Source organism: Homo sapiens, chromosome 2 (assembly GCF_000001405.40).
Source record: "Homo sapiens chromosome 2, GRCh38.p14 Primary Assembly".
In the NCBI taxonomy this organism is placed as follows: domain Eukaryota; kingdom Metazoa; phylum Chordata; class Mammalia; order Primates; family Hominidae; genus Homo; species Homo sapiens.
The window spans coordinates 166259252-166284356 of NC_000002.12; the positions used below are offsets into that span (position 1 = coordinate 166259252).

The window sequence follows — 25105 nt, forward strand, 5'->3', positions numbered from 1 at the left end:
AGCTGCATCCTTGACTGATCCAGTTTGATATTACCCCTGTGAGAAGAAGGTTAGGTACTGAATTTTAGAAATGCAGCATGATGAAAGAGTTTAGTCAACTGTGTTTTAAAATGTTTAAAGTCATATACCTGTAAGTAGAAATTAGTTACATATTTGAAAGTACATGCTATATACTCAACGTTAAGCAATATATTTGAATCACAGTACTAAGATTAAATGTCATTCAACAGAGACTTAAAAACAATCAATTAAACAGTTACATAATTCTACTCTACTATTTAAAAATTGAATTTAAATACTATAATGTGCTAATGCAATGTTTTGCATTCTATTTTTCCTTAAATGCAAGCAACATTTAAATATAAGTGATTCTCAGTATAGGGGGTGAGGTGGCAGTAAGAGTATGCAGCTTTAAAAAGCATATTCTAAAATTAGCATTTCTTGATTGACTTATTTTTATTTAATTAATTTTGACATTTTAAACAGCATTGCAAAAAAGTGAAGTTTCCAAATTTATCAAAATATAAAGAATAAGACACATTGATTTGAATATGTCAGACAAATATTTCATTGTTTTTAGGCACGTAAACAAATCCAATGAAGATGGAAAGATTTTTCAAATTCTTTGGAAACAACCTGAAAAAAACAAATGGTCTAAGTGCAATTCTACAGAAGAGTGCTTTTAAAAAAAATCTATGCATAAAATATAGAATCAAATGCCAATTTTACGAAACAGCATAACTGTAACTAATCCCTAAATCTTTCAAAGTCAAATGCATTTTTAAAAGATTATTATATTTTCTAAAGTGTAGTAATAAGCAGAAGGTAAATCTAAAACTTTGATTAAAAATCTAAAGAGAGAAAGTCTTGATAACAGTGTAATTAAAACCACCACATAGTAAAAGGACATTAAATATTTAATTTGGGAACTGCAAATATTGAAACAACTTTTTATCAGGTCAACAAAATGACTACATTTCATAATAATAAGCATATTTAAGTATCTCCAAAGATAATGACTTTGTAAACTGAACACTGAATAGATGAATGGGTGGATAGATGAATGAATGAGTGAATCAGGTGAACAATATGAATGCTTGTTCCTCTGCCTGAGATTTCCTTCTGTACCACATCTGCCCAGTGAAATTTTCTCCATACTGTAAGGTCTGGTCTAAGTGCCACCTCCTTTCATGTGAAGTCAGCCAGATACAGCCCCTTACTCAATGCATCCTCAATGGACTAGTTTAGTGTCCTGTTACGGATTGTGCTTTGCTTTGTTCTGTGTTATAATTTTTTGTATATTTACCTAAGGTGCAAGCTATTAGAGTGTATACTTTTTGTTGTCAATGATCAATCACCCTTTACCTTTGAAGTACATGAAGTTTTTAGTGTGGTTTTTGGGGGACTCAATATTTATAGGGGGCCAAAAATATTTCATGAGTGTAATTTAGGAGAGAAAAACTCTATGCCTATTATAATTCTGGGCAGAGAGTCATAGAAAATTTTAATGTGTTCTCTACTATGCACAAATAAAAGAAATGAATAAAATATCTGTGTTCAGTAACATAATATTTATGTAATTAAGAAATAAGATTATACAGGTAGAATGAAGTTTATATTTTACTTATGCCTTTGTATTATGTTGAGCCACATGAAATTTCTAGTTTTTGCAGATTAAAAATGGTTGGATATTTAGTTTTTTATTATTTAACTTAAAATATTCTTATTTTCATATATATTTTCTAATTCAATAAGTAAAAATTAACTTTTGTTTTTTGGTAATTTTATACAATATGTTTCAAAGTATAACATTACAATTGATGCATATTATTCCAAATTATGCCTAGTAACTGCATCTCTTAAAATAGAAAATTACCATCCTTCAATTCTTTTGACATTTTCATAAAGGAATAATAATAATTAGTAGCAGTAGTAATATTGGAGAAGCATGCCTGACCTTGTTAATACCTTCCAAGGTATCTTACCAAGAGAATCCAGATTTTATTCAGGGTAGCAATATGCCCAGATAAATGTCCTGCCTCAGCCAGGCTACCTTGTTGTTAGGGGTGGCCATGTCACACTGTTCTTGCCAATAAGACATAAGCCAAAGTTGGATAAGGATCTCTGGGAAAGTTTTGCCCTTCCTCAGGCAAGTGGGATAGTCATTACTTCTGCTTCGTTCTATTTCTTTCTCTACCTGGGTATTGGATATAAAGCTGTAGGTGGAACAGTCACCTCTAATCATAGGCATTAATATAGAAGAAAAAACACATGTGAAGATTGGCAGAAGGGAGAAGAGATGGAGCCTAGGACATGGAGGCCACGTGGACTGCTGATCTGTGGATGTTTTAAAATATGAAAACAGAATGTTCTATCCAGTTATGCCAATGTAGTTAAGTCTCTGTTGCATGCAGTTAAACAGAGTCCTGACTCAGAAATAGCCAAAAATAACAAAACACACACACAAAAAAATAGGGATTACCCATGTACCCTTAAGTAAAATAGGTTTATTCAAATAGTTAAGATCTTAACATGTGTACCTTGGTGTGGCAGTAAGTGTACTCCCTAGCCCCTAATATAGCCTTAATGTGAAAGATAATATAATAATAAATCAATTCTACTTAATACATTGTCCTGAGAGAACACAAAGGTTCAAAGAGAGCAAAGTGATGTGTAGAAAAAATTATGCCAAATTGATTTAATACTTTTCTGTAATAACATAATAAGTCATGACAAAGGAGATGCTTTAAAGGCAATGATCTGGACTTTAGTGATATTTCTGAGTCACTTGCCAATTTCATCAACAAGCCAGGGAGAGCTGGATAAGTCTTAGTAGCACTAAGAACCTCATAGTTACCTCAGCAAGGTTTTCACCTAGAGAAGAATGAATGTATCAGGCAGAAGCTACAAGAACTTGAATTTGGTCTAGATGAGTTTGTCATATTTATCAATAATTTGCATGAAAAAATAGACACATTAATATATGCAAAAATAAATATACAGATACACATGAAATACCATAATGTATAAAATATGCATTTAATACTGAATAAATGGAAAGGAAAGGGTTATGTAGTCTTGAGAAAGAAATATATTCTAGAAGTAAAATCAGTTTTACTTTTCAATAAAGAAGGGAATAAGATAGTTTTGAAGAAACAAATTTAAACACCTAAAATATAAAAATCACACATTATTACCAAGGTAGACTATAACCTAATCAGTCAGCATTAAGGTGGATTAGAAGCACAATATCAGAATCCCAATGAATCAGCAAATGTACAATACCATTACAACAGAAAATTTCACCCTGAATTACACCATTACAGAGGTATAGCAGAAAACAATTATACTACTACTCATTTTCTTGCCTTTCTATGGCATGTAGTATAATGATTACAGCTTGGGGTTTAAATTTAAAAAGACCCCCAGATACGTCCATGACTAACCAAATCTTTTCTTAATCTTTTAGAATCGCAGTCATCTGCAAATATAGATGCATTATATTTACTTCCTAAGGAGGTCACAAAGACGAAAATTATATAATGTGTGTAAAGGGGCTACTGTATACATTTTATCCGTGTGTGTGTGCGTGCTTTCTTCTTTTGCATCCACCTCTCAAATGTGTTTGATCCGCTGTTCTCAGCTGCTGTCTGTGGTTCTGTCATGAAGTAGATGCTCTAAGGCACTGTCCACATCCTGCTTTCCAGCAAGCTGCTCATTCCCCCAGCTGCCAAAAGTGTTGGATGCTGAAGGCTCACATCTGAATCCCTCTTTGGGCCTTATCGTGGCAGAAGGGAGGTGCTTCCCCCAAGGTTATACCCTTCTCCCCTGGAAAGGTAAAGGGAGAGCCTGCATCCAATGAATGGTGTGGAGAAGAAAGGCCTGACCCTCTTGCTTTGTTTTGGAACTACTCCAGAGGGTTGTCACAGCATCAGAGATGCCAATAGGATCAGCCGAAATCTCTGTTGCAATTTTAACAGTTCAACTTCTCTCTCTGCCCAATAATTTTGCATGCCTCACTTTTTACAGATGTTACGTTTCGTTCCTGAAAACACTTCTCAGTAAATCTCAGATTTCTCTCTCAGGATTGGTTTCCCAGGGAACTGACCCCTACACAATCCCGTGATTAATGAAAGTTAGCATACAAAATCCCAACCTATCTACAACTCTGACTTTTCTTCTTTCCTTAAGATTTATCTTTCCATATACCTCCTGTTCAGGTTCACTGCCTGTACTGCAAGTAGTTCAAATTTATGATGCCACCAAATTAAACTCTGTATTTCCCCTACCTCCTCAATTTTCTCCTCCATCAGTGTATTCTTAATTGTATCAATAACCATCTAGTCTTCTAAGTCAAAATTCTTTGTTGTGGGTTGAATTGTAATCCTCCAAAAGTTATGTTGAAGTCCTAACCCTGGCATGTTTGAGTGTGATCTTATTTGGAAATATGGTCTTTGCAGACACAATGAAGATGAGGTCATTGTGTGGGTCCAAATCCAATATAACTGGGGTCCTTATAAGAAGAAAAGACCGAGACACACAGGGAGAAAACTACGTGAGTACCGGGCCAGAGATTGGGATGATGCAGCTGCAAGCTGCAAGGATTGCCAACAACCTCCAAAGTTAGAAAGCAGCAAGGCAGGATACTTACTAGAGCCTTTAGAGAAATCATGGCCTTGCTCAGACCTTGATTTCAGACTTCTAGCCTCCAGAACTGGCAAAAGAATAAATTTCTGTTGTTGTAAGCCACTGAGTTTTGCTAATTTGTTACAACAGCCGTAAGAAACTAATACATCCTTGGATCAGCTCACAATCTTATATATCTAGACCCTGAGCCCTTATATTTTAACTTTCAAGTTAATCCCGATATTAAATTGTTGCAGCTGTGTGAGAACATGATCTTTTTTCCCTCAGCAATTCTTAGCACAGTGCTTAGAGCATAGTAAGGTGTAATAAATATTTATTGACAAATGGGTGCATTTCATACTTCCTTTAAGGCTTCTAATGAGGAAGCACTTCACTGCCAGTGGTAAAAAAGCCTGTGTAGTGTGTTGTTAATGTTTGGAGTGTGCTTGGAGGGCTTCATTGCACTTCAGGAGAAGGCTGACTCTGAGAAGAGCCATCAGTTCAGTGCCTGCATTCTTAGAAACAGTGAAAAGAGTATTATTCTCATGGGTACCTTTGAGATAACAGCATGTCTTTCTTGATTCTGACACTGACTATCTCTTCAGAGAAGTGCTATTGTTCTATTTCCATTTGTTTCCTCAGAACTGTTTAAGATATTTGACTAAACCGTTTGTTTTAACTCATCTCTTTGGTTATTTTCTGATAAGAGGTTTTACTGTAAAATATTTTGATTTGATTCTGGAGTGTATTTTTAACTGTCTATCAGGTTGAGGAAATCTGTCAACCTGAAAACTTATACTAGGAGAGCACTGAAAATTCTCCATAAACTCTGTTGAGAAACCAGGATGCTAGGTCATAAAAGAGAGGGTTTTTGGGTAGGGAGAAGAGAGGGAGAGATATCAAAGGTCAGTGATGTTTTTTCCCCTTGCTCAAAATGCAGGTTCTTAAACAAGCAAAAGGGGAAATATACCCATAGCCCCTGAATAAAGAAAATAATATCTCAGAAACCTGAATCCAAGTAAGCTAGGGATTAAGTTGGCATCATTTATTTTAAAAATTATTGACACATAATAATTGTACATATTTATGGGGTACATGTGATAGTTTGATACATGTATACATTATATAATTATCAAATAGGGTAACTAGCAGATCCATAGCTTTGAACATTTACCATTTCTTTGTGAGGAGACCATTTAAAAACTTCTAGCTATTTTGAAATATACAACACATTATGGTTAACTCTAGTCATCCAACGATTCAATAGAACACCAGAACTTATTCTTTCTATCTCACTGTAGCTTTGTACCTGTTGACCAATCTTTCCCCACACCTCGCTCCTCCAAGCCTCCCATCCTCCGATAACCACTATTCTACTATCTACTTCTATGACAACCCTTTAGATTCCACATATGTGTGAGATATTTGACTTTCTGTGCCTGGCTGATTTCACTTAACATAATGTCCTCCAGGTTCATTCATGTTGCCACAAATAACAGGATTTCATTATTTCTTATGGCTGAATGGCGTTCAATTTTTCTTATGTACATTTTCTTTATGCATTTATTTATTTACGATCATTTAGGTTAATATGATAACTTGGCTATTGTGAACAGTGCAGCAATAAACATATAGGAGTACAGTATTCTATGTTTACTGTATCTCTTCAACATACTGATTTCATTTCATCTGGATATTTACTTAGTATTGGGACTGCTGGATCATATGAAAATTCTATTTTTAATTTTTTAAAGAACCCCCATATTACTTTCCATAATGGTGGTACTAATTTACATTCTCACAATCAGTGTGTAAGGATTCCCTTTTCTCCATATCCTTTAAACACTTATATCTTTTGATTTTTTGATGGTAGCCATTTTAACTAGGGTGAGGAGATACCTCAAGATAGGTTTGATTTGCATTTCCCTGGTGATTAGTGATGTTGAGCATATTTTCATTTATCTGTTGGCATTTCTTTGTCTTCTTTTGAGAAATATCTATTCAGGTCTTTTGTCCATTTTTGAATTATTTGTTTTTTTTGTCGTTGTTGAGTTGTTTGAGTTCCTTGTATGTTTTAGATATTAACCCATTATCAGATGCATAGTTTACAAATTTATTTTCCCATTCTGTAGGTTATCTCTTCACTCTATTGATTGTTTGCCTTGCTGTGCAGAAGCTTTTTAGTTTAATATAATCCAATTTGTCTATATTTGCTTTTGTTGCCTGTGCTTTTTAGGTTTTATCCAAAAAAATCCTTGCCTAGAACAACATCATGAAGCTTTCCCCCTGTTTTTTTTCTTCTCTAATAGTTGTGTAGTTTTCAGTCTTACATTTAAGTAGTCTATTTTGAGTTGACTTGTGTATAAAGTAAGAGATAAAGGTCTAATTTCATTCTTTTGCATGTGGCTATTCAGTTTGCCCAGAACCATTTACTAAAGAGGCTGTCCTTTCTCTATTATAGGTACTTGGAACCTTGTCAAAACTCAGTTGACTGTATATGTGTAGATTTATTTCTGGGCTCTCTATTCTTATGTATTGCTCTGTGTGTCTGTTTTATGTCAGTATCATTCTGTTTGGTTACTATAGCTTTATAGTATGTTTTGAAGTCAGTTAGTGTGAAGCCATCAGCTTTGTTCTTTTTGTTCCAGGTTACTTGGGCTATTTAGGGTCTTTTGTGGTTTCATACAAATGTTAGGACTTTTTTTTTTTTTTTCTGTAAAGAATGTCACTGGTATTTTGATAGGGATTGCATTAAACCTGTAGATTGCTTTGGGTAATATGGACATTTTAAAAATAATAATTATTCTAATCCATGAACATGGAATATCTTTCCCTTTTTGTGTCCTCTTCAATTTCTCTCACCAATATTTTATAGTTTTCATTGTAAATATATTTCACCTCCTTGTTTAAATTTATTTCTAGGTATTTTATTTTTTGTAGCTATTGTAAATGGGATTGCTTTCTTATTTTCAGATTATTTGTTGTTAACATATAGAAATAATATTGATTTTTGCATGTTGATTTTGTGTCCTCCAACATTACTGAATTCATTTATGAAATCTACTACTTTTTTTCATGGGGTCATTAGAACTCTCTATATCTAAGATCAGATCATATAAAAACAAAGAGAATTTGACTTCCTTCTTTCCAATTTAAATGTCCTTTATTTCTTTCTCTTGCCTGATTGCTCTGGCTAGAACTTCATTACTATGTTGAATAAAAGTAGTGAAAGTGGGCATCCTTATCTTGTTCCAGATCTTGGAGAGAAAGCTTTCAGCTCTTCCCTGGTTAGTATCATGTTAGCTGTGGGTTTGTTACATATGGCCTTCATTACATTAAGGTATGTTTCTTCTATACTTAATTTGTTGATAATTTTTATCAAATAAAGGATACTGGATTTTATAAAATGCTTTTTCTCTGTCTATTGAGATGATTATATGGTTTTTATGTTTCATTCTGTTGATATAATATAGAAAGTTTATTGTTCTGCAAATGTTGAAACATCTTTGCATCCCTGGGACGATTTCCAGTTGAGCATGGTGAATAATCTTTTTGATAGGCTGTTGGATTTGAGTTGCTAGTATTTTGTTGGGGCATTTTGCATCTGTGTTCATCAGGGATAGTGGCCTTCAGCTTTCTTTTCGTGTGTGTGTGTCCCTGTCTTGTTCTGGTATTGGGGTAATATTGGCCTTGTAGAATGAATTTAGAAGAATTCCTTTCCTTTTGATTTTTTTGGAATAATTTAAGAAGAATTAGTATTAGTTCTTCTTTAAATGTTTGGTAGAATTCATCAGTGAAGCCATGTGGTCCTGGACTTTTCTTTGCTAGGAGAGATTTTATTACTGATTCAATCTTGTTACTCATTATTGGTCTGTTTGAGTTTTCCATTTCTTCATGATACAGTCTTGGCAAGTTGTATGTGTTGAGTAATTTATCAATTTCCATTAGGTTTTCCAATTTGTTGGAGTATGATTGTTCATAGTAGTCTCTATTGATCAGTAGCTGCTGCAAACGTTGTTAATGATTCTGAAGTTGCATCCAAATTTAGGCAAACAATTCAAAGGATATGATCCAGAACAGGCATTTGTAATAAAGTCCCCAAGTATGTCTTTCACACACTAAAATTCTGAAGCACTGATCTTCATCACGCTATCTCTTTTAAATTCAATCTGTAACCAATAGCTACTTACAGTGTGTATATAAGCACTCAATTCCATACTTATAATAATTGTACATTGAGCACTTTTCAATAAGCATTTGTCTAATTATTTATGAGAATCATATAATCTTTATTACAATCTATTTTACACATAAATAAACTGAAAAAAATGTTTTTGTAAATTGCTCAAGGTCTTATCAAAAGCTAAGATTTGAGGCAAATATTCTATCTTAAAAAGTGGCATTCTTAACTATATCCCAAGGTAGTGGCTAAGACTTAATGACATAAATATATAAATTAGGAGTTACTTTCTATTGGGTAATTCAATTTGCCTCTTTGGCTCATCCAGGCTCATCACAAACACAACCATCACTATTTCAAAGGCATCTCAGATACGAAAAAAATAAAAGTTGCAAAAGAGGGAATTCACAGTTCAAGACTCTGGGAACTCAAGTGGGAGATGAAGATTATGAGAATTAGAGCAGGAAAAGTTAGCATAGGAGGATTAAAGACATTTTAGACAAATAAATAAAATGTACACTATTTTAGTGATCTGAATGGGAAAACAAAACAAAACAAAAATGACAGAATTTAAACTGGAAACATTTTAATCTGAAGAGGCTGGAAAGAAAGACCTTAGATGTAAGGTTTTTATAGTTGACCACAGCTTAATATCTTATCAAACAAATTTCCTCTAGATCTTGAACCTTCATTATTTCTCAATTCTTATATTTTCAGGTAGGTTTGTCTATACTTAATATGACATACTTTGAGATACGTCATGGAAAATTTTTTATGAAGAAGGGTAAACTTTCAAAGTTCATAATTAGAAGTCAGTAGCACTAAGAACCTGAGTTCTTAAGTAATAATAATGATGCAGAAATCGATGACAACAAACACTTTTTTTAAAATGGCTTGCTAATTCAAACACTATGCTACATGACTTAAAAATACTAGCTTGTGTATCTGTTACTACAACCTCTAAGGTAGCCACAAACTCCTGTATATTTAATTGTGCATACCATGGAAATGTAATAGAGTAAGAATGTACACTCTTTTATCATATAGATATAACCATTATGTAATGAGAAAAAAATTAGTGAAAATCAAGAATATTAGAATATTAACATCAAATGATTTTTAGACAACTCAGTTTATAGGGCACTAGATTTCATACGCTTTCGGAAGGGCTCATGGAATAAGTGACAGAGTAATTTTATGAATGGTTAAAATAATCTATTTCAGTTATAAAATACAAATAAAATCACTAGTTATAAAAGATAGCTAACCATTATGACAACACACCTTCATCTGCATGCCACAGATATATAAATTCTATAGCTGCATGGCTTTATACCCCAGGGGAGACAAATTATTAAGTCCAATAGGAATGTTTGTTTTGTGTTTCAAATGGACAAAGAGAGGACAAGAGAGGTAGAAATTCCATTGAGCTATAAGTCACAAGCCTAGGACTCTTGACATGGCTCTGCCTTTATAACTGTATAACTCTATAACTCTAGATTTATAACTGTATAACTCTAGCTTTATAACTGTGAATAAAATCACTTCCTTTTAATGAGTCTGCTTTTTCAGTTAGAAAATGAAGTGCTAAATGGAAAGTTCTATAAGGTTCCCTTAAAAATGTTGCAACTCAACATACTAAGAATAAGAATTTTGTCAGCAGCTAAGGAGATCCATGAAAGGTCAGCCATTGACTTTAAATGAAAGAAAAATGAACAGGTAAGAAATAATTCCTCATAAATGTTAAGAAATAATTTCAGAAGTCTTTGGTTGACTTTCCCCAGCTCCTGAAGTGCTTTAACACCTAGAATCCAAGTTTTATTCTGAGAGCAACTGTCTGCCAGGCAATTGGAGTTTATAATTTTAATCTTCTTTAAATGGGTGACAGAGTTAGTTAGAAAAAAATAGGTGACTGAGTTAGTTTCCCTTTCCATATGATACTAAACCTAGATGCCTGCTCCTTAAAAGGCATACGTGGAATCTGATTTTCTAACTTTAAGCTGAAATGAACACGGTTTTAAAATTTTGGGAGTATTACTTCTTCCATGTAGAACATTTTAAAATATACAAATAAAATACAGCTGGCCTTCTGTATCCCTGGGTCCCACATCTGTAGAGTCAACCAACTACAGATGGAAAATAATTGGAAAAAATAAATATAAAAATACAACAATAAAAATAGTACAAATAAAAAATATAGTAAAACAAATATTTACATTGTGTCAGTGATTTACTTTTACATTATAAGTAATCTGAAGATAATTTAAAGTGTACATATGAGAGGATGTGTGTAGGTTTTATGGTAAACATTGTGCCATTTTATATAAAGGAATTGAGCATCTGCAGATTTTAGTCTCTGTGGGGGGCCTTCAAACTACTCGCCCATAGATATCGAGGGATGACTAGATTTGATTCCTTACTTTACCGTCTTGGAAAAAATGTCCTTGGCTACATAGAAACATATATCATGATTTATTTATTTAATCATTTATTCACTCAATTAAATATAGAGCATTTTATTTTATTTTGTTTTAATTTAATTTAATCTTATGTATTTAATTTAATCTTATGTATTGATTTTTTTTGAGACAGAGTCTCACTCTGTAGTCCAAGCTGGAGTGCAGCGGTGCGATCTTGGCTTACTGCAACCTCCGCCTCTGGAGCTCAAGTGATTCTCATGCCTCAGCCTCCTGAGCATTTTACTGATATATATATATATATATATCAGTCATGATTATTCCATATAATCTCGTTTTCCAAGTCCACTATAAATTCATGGAGGGTGGAGTCTTAGTAAGTTAAGGAGATAGAAGATATTTGGTAAATATCTGTCAAATACTTTCTAACATGAGCTAGAGAAAACAAAAGATTATTTTTAAATGATGCCTTAAGACTTGAAAGCAATCTCATAAAAGTAATTTGTAATACGGTTGTTATATTTCACAATAAAAATAAAACTCAATACATACCTTGACTCACTAGAAATATGCAGGTAAGGGTGGGAGAGGAGGGCACAAAAAAAGGTTTTAAAGAGTTCCTGTTCTCAATGAATTTACAGTACTATTTGATGCATACCATAATTTCTCAAAAAATTAAAATTTAAGATTACTGAATCCAGGAAGAAGTATAAAATTGTTTGCGGTTCAAAAATGAGAAGGGACTACATCCATTTGGGGAGAAATTAGGAGGGATGAAATAAATAACATTTTGAGAACATTGAGTATGGTTCTAAACATTTTACATGTATTAACGTGTTAATTCATTTAACCCTGACCCAACTGCGATTTAAGTATTAACAATTTAATAGATGATAAATACAAGGGTGATGCCTTGAAGGATTTTGACTGGAGAAGGAAATCCCAAGCAAAGTGTGGAGAGTGTTTATGACCTAAAAGGAAATTGGTTTGGTACAGGTAAAAATCTATGGGTGAGCACTAGGAGATAGAGCTGGTCAAAGCTGGTTAGGGCCATAGTGTGAAGGCTTTGTGCACAGTACATAATTCGAGACTTTGGGGATGGCCAGGCGTGGTGGCTCACTCCTGTAATCTCAGCAACTGGGGAAAAAGTTTGAAGAATTGCCTGAGTCCAGTAGTTTGAGACCAGCCTGGGAAACATAGTGAAACCTTGTCTCTACAAACTTTTTTAAAAAAATTAGCTGGGTGTTGTGGCATGGGTGTGTAGTCCCAGCAACTCAGGAGGTGGAGGCAGGAGGATCACTTGAGCCCAGGAGTTCAAGGTTGCAGTAAGCTATGATAGCACCACTGTACTCCAGACTGGGCAACAGAGTGAGACCTGTCTCCGTTTTTTAAAAAAAAGAAGAGAGAGAGAGAGAGAGCGATACTTTGCGGATCATGGATACATCATGAGAGTGAAATGATTAGGACTGAATCTGCATGAGCGAAAATAATCAAATAAGTAAACTAGAGTAAATGCAAAATGGAAGCAGAGGCATCAGTTGAGACTCTGCTTGAAATGGTTTAGGCAAAAAGTAGTGAGTACAAAGGAAAGGTGATGAAAAGGAGAGGTGGATTCAAACAGGCACTGTGGAGGGAGACTGTGTAACTTTTCAACTGACAGGAAACATGGGATGAAGCATGGGAAGGCTCAAAGATACCTTTGAGCTTTCTCATACAGCTAAGTAAGATTAAATCAATTATTAAGAACTAGTAAGAAAACTTTACCAGATGAATCTTCAGGAAGCTGTTGTGTAAAGTCACGCACAAAAACTATCCATCACTACATGCAATGTTAAGAAGAACTTATGACAATAGAAATATGAAATTTTCATTCATTTCATACTAATTGTTAATATGAAACACAAAGTATATGAAGCATTCTTACCACTTTGCTGTATTCACTATCCGAATCACTGCTAAGTTCCTCAGCATTCATATTTTCCAAATCGGATTCCCCAGGTGCAATTGGCACTGTCACTGTGAGGCTGGGATTGTGAATAAATGATTGACCATCACTGTCTTCCATCAAGTGTTTGTCCACGCTGCTTCCAAAACCACTGATTTTATCTTTTTCCTTGAGGAAATTGTGACCTTTGCTCATTTCAGCAAGTGTATGGTTAGAAATATAGTTTTCCTTCTTAGTATTCAGATCTTCTGCTTGTCTTATCTCCCTGGAAATCTTTGGCTTTTTGGAAAATGCTTTTAGAATAAATTCACGTAAGGTTTGTTTCACATAATTTATTCCCTTTTTAATTCTAGTCACTGCAATCTGGAGGTTGTTTGCATCAGGGTCTTCTTCAATTGCTGTAAGATTGTCTGAACTAAATGAGCTCAATAATAAGGCCAGAAATAGGTTTAGGACCTATATCAGGGTGGGGAGAGGGGGTAGAGAAATAGGGAGACAGGAAATATAAAAAATAAAATAAAATAAGTACACTTTTCCGAATATAGGCCACAATACAAACCAGCAACGAAGATTTCTGCACCTTTTCACACACGGATAAGACCACATGAGAGAGACAGAGGCGAGGGTAGACTCCTCATCACTGTATCCCTAGACTAGCCCCTGCAGACTCAGCAGCAGAGGGTCAGCCATACCCAGGAAGAATTACCATGGGGAGCAGAGAGAATGATCCCTCACCATTATCATTACATCATTTCTAAGTTCATTTCTGTAGCAGTAGTGCCTTAATCAAGTTCTCTTTTATGAACCCAAAAAACTCTCCTAGCATTCATCTATCATTACTCTTTATTACCTGTGAGAAACAGGTAGAACAAAACAATTGTGACTATTTTCTATTGTGCTAAAGATCTTTGTTCACTTTACCAGAAGATAAATGTCACTTGTTCTAACAAATGGAACACATAATACTTACAAAGTTCCTGTAATAAAATATTCTGTCCAAGAAGCGTGCTAGAATACTGCTTAATGTGACTTTTAAAGCACAGAAAAGGACCTGCCCCTTGAACCTGATTCACATGCAATAATGGCATTATGATTGGCTGGCTTCATTGCCTATTATGTTTGCCCTAGAAGAGATTACAAAAAAGGTCAGGACAATTTCTATTCTCTTGAAGCAAAGTTTTATTTCTGAGTTAATTATTTTTTTTTCTCACTGAAGTAGAAGTGCAGGTCAACTCCACATTGTAAAAAAAAAAAATGTTCACAGAGGGCAGGAAACATGTAAATTGTAAATTATATTTAAACATTGTTTTATCCAGGAAACAAAAAAGGAAATTGAATTGGCATTTGATGTAAGTCTTTTCATGGCCCAAATCATCTACCTCATGTTTTAAAAATCGAAGTAAGACCTAACTGAAGAGAAGGTACTCATCCCTCATTTTGGTCATACCTAAAACAATTTCTCTGAGATGTAAGTAAAGACAGCAGGCTAAAATTGTGTGTCTCAATAAGTCTGATTTAGGAGAAAATTCTGGAGGTCGGAGGTCTGGGAATCATAGTGAACAATTTTGATAATTGCTAAAAATCCCTGAAATGGTTTAATAGTTGTCAATGAAAAAGTATATTTCACTATGAAATACATGTTTGTGTATATTTGTTTTAATAGGAATATTGGTGAAGATCTGAGGGTCCATTTTACTGCTTTAGTCTCCTTAATCTGTTCAAGCGTTAAACCATTTTAACAGGGTGCAGTGGCTCATGCGGTTCTCACTTCGTTGAGAACAGCTGCTGTGACAACTTTCTTTCCTTCAAAAATCATAAGTCTCTAATATTTCTATAACCTAGTGGGTATCACAAATCAAAATAAAGTCCATTTGTATCATCTTTGTATTATCATGTTAAACAAGAGAAGAAATATTAATAAAATGTATACTTGATTCAAAGTCTCATTTTGATTAATGGTCTTCGCAAGTTTCCTGATATAGACCCGAGCTGACTAAAACTTATTTTTCCAAATGTTTTCCTAAACCTATGGTCCTTAACCATTTCAATTAACTGGCAATAAAATGATCAAAAGAATAAATTAGAGAAATATAAAAAAAGAGAAGCCAGTTTAGCATATAACTCTAATGTGGAAGGCTATATCAGGAATATATTTTTTTCCTTAAATTTTAATTCTATGATATTGGTAGTTCCTCCATTAGTCAAGAGTTGGTTATCAACTTTATGAATTTTCTTCTGTATACTTTCTTTGCCAAGAATTAATAATTAAAGAATAATAATATGAGTTAGTTAACACTAATTCTACACGAATGAAACACTCACCAATATATCCCCTCTGTTTTTTACTATAAATCTATATTGCCTTTCAAAGGAAAACATAACTCTCACACCAGTGTCCATGATCAAATATTATATTATCCATTGTTCAAAGGCCCACTTCAAAAACCTCCCTTAAGTCTCAATCTAGAACTCTTTCTTTAAGTGTCAGAAGCATTTTATTTAACCTTATTGGTAGAACTCATCACTTCTTCCTTGTCTGATAACTTTTGTGTTCCACTTTTCTGTGCCCTAATAAGCATCTTAAAAACAAGGATTAGACCATGGGTAATTGGTTTTGGTCTTCCACCCTAAATAATACCTAAACAATGCCTTCCTATCTAAACAATACCTAAATACCTTTCTTTTCACAGAGAAGATACTAAAAAATATTGAGTGGAAAATGTGGTGAGAGCCAAGGGAATGCCTTTCCCTTTGAATTTGCCTGAATAAATAATAAACATTTAAATTATTTGTGATTATTGGCTTTGATGTGGCATGTTTTCACAAGTTATACCTTTCCCAATTTCACGATTTTATGTCAAAATTTTGTAAGAAGAAATGCACAGCTGGGCGCAGTAGCTCACGCCTGTAATTCTAGCACTTTGGGAGGCGACGGAGGCTGGATCACCTGAGGTCAGGAGTTCGAGACCAGCCTGGCCAACATGACGAAAACCTGTCTCTACTAAAAATACAAAAATTAGCTGGCACGGTAGCATGCACCTGTAATCTCAGCTACTCAGGAGGCTGAGGCAGAAGAATTGCTTGAACCTGGGAGGTGGAGGTTGGGGTGAGCCGAGATCACATCATTGCACTCCAGCCTGGGCAACAAAGCGAGATTCCATCTCAAAAAAAAAAAAAATACACAAGCAAATCCTGCTATAGGAGCTTATAAATACAAAACAGAGAAGAAGAAACAAAGAGAATGTGCATTTCATTCCATATTGGAAGGAATTTGTAAGGCTATATAAAACTAGGAAGCTTATTTATTACTACAACTTGAGGGTGATCAACAATTATAGAATGGTAATCCAGGATGTATATTTTTTGTGCAGTAAAAATCTAGAATTTGTGCTGCATAAATGCCTTTGTGTATGTCTGGCACAGTATCATTTAGTGTGTGACTGGATGAATGTAAGTTTCTGTCCTGACTTCTGAATCCTCTTTTTATGGTGGTTACAAGGACAACAATATTTTAGTAATTTTTTTCAACTCAGTGGGAAGTGAAGGCACTTACCATATGGCTGTTACCATATCCCACCTTCTGGATACCTGATGAGAGATTTGATGTCAAGCTGACCAACTGTGACAAGTCAACGTGGCAGATTTGAGAATTGAGATGAGTGGCTCATAGAAGAGCATTTTATCCCAATTTTCTCCTGCTTGTAAGCTTGAAAGTTTTCACTAATCAGTATAAGGAAGAAAAAAAATAAAAAAAAAGTACAAGCCAAGAAAACACTAATTCAAAAAGTAGGCAGATTGCTATGTCCACGCGATGCTATAGGCCAGTGGCTGGAAAACTTTTTCGTAAAGGGCCAAATGATAAATATTTTAGACTTTATTGGGCATACGATTTCTATGGCAGCTATTCACCTCTGCCACTGTAATGTAAAAGCAGTCATAGAAGATACGTAAATGAATTGACATTCCTATGTTTGAATAAAGTTTATGAACACTAAAATTTGCATTTCATATAATGTGCATGTGTCATTTATTCTTCTTTTGATTATTTTAACCACTTAAAAATGTAAAAATCATTCTTAGCTCCCAGGGCCACACAATAACAGGCATTGGACTGGCTTTGGTCTGTGGGGCATAGGTGCTGATCCTTGCTATAGAGGCTAGTCTTACACATGGCTATAAGGTGCGGGACCAGTCCTTTCATTTGCCTTGGTCCATTATTAACTTCATTTTTGTTATTATTAACTTAATTATATTTTATTTACTAGTATAGCTTCAAGAGAGCATATGCCATCACTTTCAAAATTAGAGAAAAAGATAGAAACCTTTGCCTTAAAATGAATAGGCAGTGATTTTGAAAAATATAAATATGGGTTATTTGGCTAGGAAAACTAATACAAAATTTCGTTCTCTTTCCTGTTCTTTCTTGTATTAAAATTATCACTATTCTTTTGCAATTAATAATTGTAGATATAATTAATTATAAAATTATAAAAATAATAGATCACATCATCACAAAATAATTTCCACAGAGAAATTAAAATGCATGAACATCTGGTTACATACCACCAGGTTTCCAATGACCATGACCATCATGTAAACAATAAGGCACATAGCTTGACCAGCGACCTCCATACAGTCCCACATGGTCTCTATCCACTCTCCACACAGCACGCGGAACACAATCAGGAAGGAGTGGAAGAAGTCGTTCATGTGCCACCGTGGGAGCGTACAGTCATCATTGATCTTGCAGACACATTCTTTGTAGCTCTTACCAAAGAGCTGCATGCCGACCACAGCAAAAATGAAGACGATGATGGCCAACACTAAGGTGAGGTTACCTAGAGCCCCTACTGAGTTACCAATGATCTTAATCAGCATGTTCAATGTTGGCCAGGATTTTGCCAACTTGAAGACTCGGAGCTAAAAGCAAATATAAAGTTTAATGTTAATCACTATGAAAATCTTTTCAATGTTTCCAATCTTGATTTTTGTTCAAAGGGTAAAGCAGACTTTAAGTCCTATAATATTGTCATTATTATCCAGCTAAAATATTCTTATTTTTCATTTTCATCAATTTTCAATATCTCTGTTATTTTGTTCCACTTGCCACAAAAAATTACAACACATATTATGAAGAAACTATGTACTTTTAGTTCAGGATTGCTATAGAAACCTCTTATCATAATTTGTGATATTTTTCTTTTAGAATTGATAATTTATCCTTAATTCTACTTTCTAATACTTTCATACATTTTCTCATGCCGACACTTAGATAAAATCTAGCATATTAGAGGAATGTGCTTTAAAAAGTCTTTATTTGTTTTTATATTGTTAAGATCAGACAACAATTGTTTTGGGGGATAACAATTTGATCTTTAATTACCAAATTCATAAAGTTATGAACATATAATCATTGAAATTCTGTAAGCCACAAGCTTCTTACTCTGAAATAAATTATTGTACTATATTAATAGAAAATATTTATATTATATTAGCGTGTACTTCAAATTAGAATTGAGCATGTCTTCAAAAATTGTAAAAATATTCATGTGGTTTTAGTTCTTTAAGTGCATTTGTCAATGAATGGATTTTATTTTACTAGATATCAAGATATAATCTTGCCTTTTGATTCAAATTCCCAAAAGTTTTTAAAAATAATGCAAAACCAAAGAAATACCCCTTTATTATAGAATATAATGGCAACCTTAGTTTATGTTTACCAGTCTGAATGATCGCAGAACTGACAATCCTTCCACATCTGCTAGAAAGAGCTCCACTAAACTTAAAGTCACAATAAGGCTGTCAAAAATATTCCAGCCTACTTGGAAATACTCATATGGATCCATGGCAATCAGTTTTAATACCATTTCAGCTGCAAAGATTCCAGTAAAGACCTAAGTGAGAAAAATAATGTTTTTCTGTTAATATTAGAAAACAGGAAATCAACACAATGATAATAATCACTGTTTGCTTAGCATTTACTGTGTTCCAGACAGTTTGCTAAATACTTTATAAATGGATATTCTTATCTAACTTAGTCCTGTAAATTAGGTATTGCTCTTCCCTGGCTCCCATATCAGCATCAAAAGGTTGAAAAGCTCTAACTGTCCTGTCAGTGCTCATCATTTTTAGACAGCATTTTAGAATAGCATATTAAAATTTCAGAAGAGTAAAACATTTGGTAATTGACACAGTCACTATTTTCAAAGAATTTATGTGGGTCAAAAAGTTGTTCTGGAAGAAGATAAAAAGAAAACATAAGTTGATACTGAAATTTTGAGCCAGTCTTTTTTTTTCTGATCTGACTACTGTTAGAGTAATAAAGAACATGTTGACTCACTCTTTAAAGATTTATCAGCAGAAGAGAAAAAAGTATTTAATTGACAATGTGGCAGCTAAAGTAATACTTCTAAAGCTTTGACACAAAAGTGCATTGCAAAATATCATTAATTCATGATACTGGTATCAAAGGACTCACTTAAAAAGGCAACACCGAAATGAATCCTTTGGGTACACTTTGACTCAAGGAATCTGACCAAAGAAGATTCTAAGGGAAATGTTTAGGTCTATAACTGCAGGAGTCAATTTTCAAATAATGCAGGATCAAGAAGATTGGCAGGGAGCAGCTGGACTTGAGGTTGTGGTAATAGCTGTGACCAGGTAAATCCTTTCTGAGTTCACAGGGATGCAGTCGTCTCAGTGAGAAGGTACTTATTTGCAAGATCCGGATCTCCACCAACAATTAGAAACTAGATATTCCTGCCTTTTTCCAAAGATAAATAGAAGGGAAGAAGAATGCTAACTCAGCGAGCACATGGGGAAAAACATTGGGAATATTTGTAGACAATTTAGAAGAAAAGACAGACTCAGAAAAGAACTTCTGGTCTTCAAATGTCAATTTGTTTGGGACCACAGCAAAAGCAAAATTATCTTATATAGACATTGACAAAGATACCCAAAGTTATTCATGGTTTATGAAGAGTCATAAGCTGAGATTCTCTGGCCCTAAAAATGAACTGGTGCCTGCCTCACATCCATAGTCAAAAACTGGCATTTTGTTTACCCTGAGTTAGTGTGACCAGCACTGTACATTTTAGAGATCACTCTGGCATCAATTTTACTAATTGGATCTTATATCTTCCAGAAGTCTGTTGATCACCTTCTTGCCTATCCTTGAGTCTTCTATGTCCAGTTCAACCATTTTGGTTTCTCAAAATAGTTGTTTTTAAAGCTTGTTTCATTAAGTCTTTGAAGTTTTGATGACAATGATGTTGATGATGATGATAGCTTTAATTTATTGTGTATTTACTATATGCCAGGCTAATAAGCAGAAAGCATTTAATCCTCCCAAGAATATGATAAATGAAATACAGTTACAATTATATTATAAATAATTATTTTATAATGAAGTATTATTTTATAAATGATAAAATTAAATACTACAGAGTTAAAATATTTGTCCAAGGGCATATCACTCATATAATGCAGAATCAGCATTCAAACCCAGGACTTTGGGACTCTGAGGACCCAAACACTTCACTACTATTATGTCAAAGCAATACATCCATAGGTTTTCTGAAAATATGTGAGGTGTGTACTTACAAGAAAGCAGCAATGTAATTAGGAAGGTGTGAGAAAGAACCAAAAATGTTAAGTGTTGCTCCCAAGAAATATGCTGGCAGAAAAAATCATTATCAACTCCCAAGATGGTAACCTTTTATAGAAATAGTATTGTTATTTGTAGACCTCAACAGTACTGCACAATTATTTTAAAAGACATAACCAGAAACTTGACTCTACACATCCATTCATATGGAAAGTTCTGGATATGCATAATTCTGAGGCTGCAGATTCATCTGACATAAAAAATATGAAATGACAATGATGACAACTAAAAAGAGAAACTATGAGTACATAACACACAATAAGAGACTTACCAAATTTCCTATAGCAAGTACATTTTTGAATTCCTCAGTCATTGGGTGGTGTTCCATAGCCATAAATAATGTGTTTAAAACTATGCAAATGGTAATTGCAAGATCTACAAAAGGATCCATTACAATAAAATAGATACACTTTTTGAATTTTATCCAATATGGAGAGCAATTCCAGATCAAGAATTTGTGTGCAAATCTGTACCACCAAGGTGGACATTTTTGTCTGGACTCTTCAAGTTCTGGGAGAAAAAAGCAGAGAACATGGAGTCAGCCATTTGTCTGTTTCACTCCTAACCAGATACAAATCAGTCAGGCATTCTAATATTGAAACAAGGTTTATAGTTTAGATTTTGAAAATTTAACAGTACTATTTCAATGAAAGCATAGCCTCTTATGTAAGTCTATTATGACATGTTCGTTGCCTAGATGAAGCATAAGAGAGGGTAAGGAAGTGAAATTTATGACTGCAAGCACATATGTGGGCATCTTTCAGAGAAAAATGCACCTAACATGTGATGGTAAACAGGAGAACTATGTTTCCTTAACAGAGAAATGTATGTTTTCCACCAATATGCATATTTTTCACCTGTGTTTTTAGTCCCATGACAACAATAAGATGAGACTATTCTGTCCAGAAAAAACTCTTGCTGTAATAGTTCACAGGTGAAAACAATCCTAGAACCAAGCAACTAGAAATAATTTATGGAGGACTCATGAAATAGACATTTCACACCATTAGCCCATTTACTTCTCACCATTTATTTAGGAGATGAGTAGACACTTTGCCCCCACAATGGGAATGTGGGGGGTGAAGTGTTAGACCCAGGGACCAGGTGGGACCTGGGGCATATTGTCAGGGGAGAGGGTAGAAGCCAGCACAGTTTGTAAAGTTGTCACCCTTTGACTATCTTTGCTTATTAGAAGAGACAATTTTTGAGCGAATATGTAATTTGTAAGATTATATAGTGACAGAATCACGTAGCTCTGGGTTAACCTTGTTTTCTGCATCAATTACTATTAAATCACTTATCTTTGAAAGGTCAGATCACCCAACATCTGTCTTTGTGGGTTTTCTTTTTTTCATTTTGCAAAGTCATTTTTGCCATGTTATCAATGTCTGTGTTTAATAGCAAATAATTTTATCCATTTTTAAGCACATAAAAACAATTCCATCAGTATCCATTGGTTATCTTTACCATCATTTAAAACCATTTTATGGTCTCTGAATTCTTCCTAAGAATTTCATGTGCCTATTTAAGGTTGACCAGATTTATGTTAATTTTATTTAAGAATCTGTACAGTAAAAGAAGATTATTACATACCTTCCACAGTGTTTGTTAATATGCTTGCTCTACTCATTGCTCTCTGTCTGAGGTTGGGATCATTCAGCATATCCTCTGAAAGGAGATAGGAACTACAACGCCTTTTCTTGTGTATTTGATTGGTCGTGCCCTAAAAAAAAAATCAATTAATGTCTTAAGAACAGAATCCTAATAAATTGTAGGTATAAGATAAAATCTTGCTTATATAGCTGTAGTGAGTAATTAAAAGTAGAGCCTAGATTGCTGGGTTCAAATTATGGCTCTGCTACTTACTGGCTGTATATCATAGGAGAGCTACTTAACTGTCTCAGTTTTATATTGGTAAAATGGGGATAATCATAGTGCTTGCTTCATATTCTTGTGAGGATTAAAGGAATTAATATTTATGAGATAAAAAATAAAGCTAGCTGCTTTTTTGTTATATCATCACTATCATCACCTCTCTGCCTTTCTGAGTGTTCAATTTATTCAGATAGTTTGTCATGTGACAGTCCTACATGAAAACAGTGAAAGTGCTGTAGTGCTGTGTATCTAAAGGGGTAGAATCTCAGTATTCTCTGATAAATTTCTGGAATTACTTTTTATTGAGGGAACAACATTAATGAAGCTCCTGTAATGGTTGTCTCTTACTGCCAAGGAAGACCTCATGAACTGAGCAGAGCATATGATGATAAATGACTCAGTTTGAAAGGAACAATTAGTGAAATGGAGAATGCAAGCTACATCTGAAAGAGGTGACCTCTCTTCAGCTCTAGAAATTGTTGCCATGCAAAAACATGAACTCATGCATAACAAGTGTATTTATTTTTGTGAGAAAATGTCTTATTTTTAAAACTTGGAAACTAATTCAAATTTAAAACACTATGTTGGTTCCATGCAGGCCAGAAATACACACACACACTCACACACACATATATACACAAACAACTATACAACTCTAGATCTATCATGTTTGTCTGCTTGTGTGTGGTATGTGGTATATATTTTAAATATATATTTCTAGATTTGTAAAGTTGTATAGTTGTATAGGTATAGTCATGCATGTATGTGTATCAAAACACAGACATACAGGCATAGATATGTGCATGGGTGTATTATGCATCTATGTGTATGTGAACAGACACACCCATTTGAGAGATCTCTGTAAAAAGTCAACTTTTTGAAAAGTCTCGAAAACCAGGTTTTCTGTGCTATAGTCTGTCAAACAAGAATTTGTCAGATTAAACAAATTATTTTCCATGTAGACATGTTTCAGGTATAGAGATGACGTTATTAGTTATGCAGTGTTTTCATATAAACCATATATTGTGCCACAATTTTATGTTTACTGTATTTCCATTGTATCTTATAAGTATCCACTAATTCCTCTAGTTTTGTAGTTTTCACTTTAGGATTTATTGTGATACTGATTTTTCTATGGTGAAAAAACTCTTAAATGAAGAAACTTCATTAAAAATATGAAATAATCTCCTAATCTGATATAAATTATATAGTATTTTACATATTACACACATAATTGCAAAACAAAATGCAAGCAAAGTTTGATTCCACAGAAATTTAACATGCTCATTCAATAATGAAAAATACCTTGCAGAAGGGCTTAAGCTGTATCATGCACACATAGAGGTCACATGTTACCTAAAAGCACATGCATTTATTCAAATTGAAATATATGTGTGGCCATGGATTTGATGGAACTTTACTCTCACTTGAAATACTACATTGTCTGCAAATATAAATATATAAGCATGTAGCATATGTTTGAAGCTTATTGGGTTAGTCAAAGCCCTTGCTGATATTGGTAATGCAGCATAGCATAGTGAGTGGGCTAAAGAGATATCCTGGAAACTCCAGGAATGAGAAAGATCTCACTTTCAAGCCTAATCAGACACCTTTCTCTAACCACTTAGTGACTCGTAGACCTTTGGAACTGCTGTAAAATGATTGTTTTGCTTTTATGTTTGTTTGTGTCAATGCTTGCATTTCAGATATTTTGTTTTGATTCATAGACTCCAGATGAAATATTTTTTAAAAATGAAAACAGTTATGTTTCATTTATATGGAGGACCTAATACATAGCCATTCTAAATTTTTTCAAGATAAGAAGCCTACTGCACATTGGAGAGATAGCAGAGTGAGTGGTTAAGAGCACAAGATCTGAAACAGACAGCCTCCGTTTCAACTTAGGAGCTACCATTTATTAGCTGAGTAAATTGGGGCAAGTTGCTTCATTTCCCCATGCCTCAATTTTCCCATTTGTAAAACAGAGATAATAATGTATCATCTCATGGGGTTGTCATAAATACTAAATATGTGTTTGCTGTTATTAACAACTCAAATAAGATTCCTTGGAATAGGTACATATTAAGCTGTGACCTGAAAAAGATAGCAGTAGCTGGCAAGTAATCCAAATTTCTTCATAGAAATGGGATCTATTATTAACTAATATCAGCATTATCCTTGCATTTTCTGTACTGATATCTATCTATATATGTATCCGTCATAAATTGTTCTCTAAAGAGATTATTTATAATCTTCAATTATAAAATTAATAGACAAGTACCTTTTTACAAAAATGGGATTTTATCTTTGAGTTAGATGCCTACAACACATAGAATGAGGATTAGGCTAATGAATCAAAGGTGTGTTCCTATAGAAAAAGTATTGCAAAATGCAGA

At 34.0% G+C, this 25105-nt stretch overlaps 1 protein-coding gene and 1 long non-coding RNA gene across 9 annotated transcripts in view; one reads left to right on the forward strand and one right to left on the reverse strand.

Annotated features, from left to right (window-relative positions):
- SCN1A-AS1 (SCN1A and SCN9A antisense RNA 1) overlaps window positions 1-25105 on the forward strand; it is a 220254-nt gene that overhangs the window by 177721 nt on the left and 17428 nt on the right. The window contains exon 8 of the long non-coding RNA NR_110260.1: window positions 17837-17996. This is a non-coding gene — a long non-coding RNA (SCN1A and SCN9A antisense RNA 1). The remainder of the gene's footprint in view (window positions 1-17836; window positions 17997-25105) is intronic.
- Window positions 1-25105, reverse strand: part of SCN9A (sodium voltage-gated channel alpha subunit 9) — a 180803-nt gene that overhangs the window by 64067 nt on the left and 91631 nt on the right. For 7 of the 8 annotated variants that reach the window (XM_011511618.3, XM_011511617.3, XM_011511619.3 and 4 more), the window contains 5 exons: window positions 22428-22557; window positions 21106-21344; window positions 18889-19062; window positions 17732-18088; window positions 13148-13624 (listed from right to left, as the gene is read on the reverse strand). In XM_011511618.3, the coding sequence (XP_011509920.1) occupies window positions 13148-13624; window positions 17732-18088; window positions 18889-19062; window positions 21106-21344; window positions 22428-22557 (1377 nt within the window). Of the gene's footprint in view, window positions 1-13147; window positions 13625-14138; window positions 14293-17731; window positions 18089-18888; window positions 19063-21105; window positions 21345-22427; window positions 22558-25105 lie in introns of those variants that run through there. The other variant, XR_001738886.2, reaches the window with a different exon arrangement.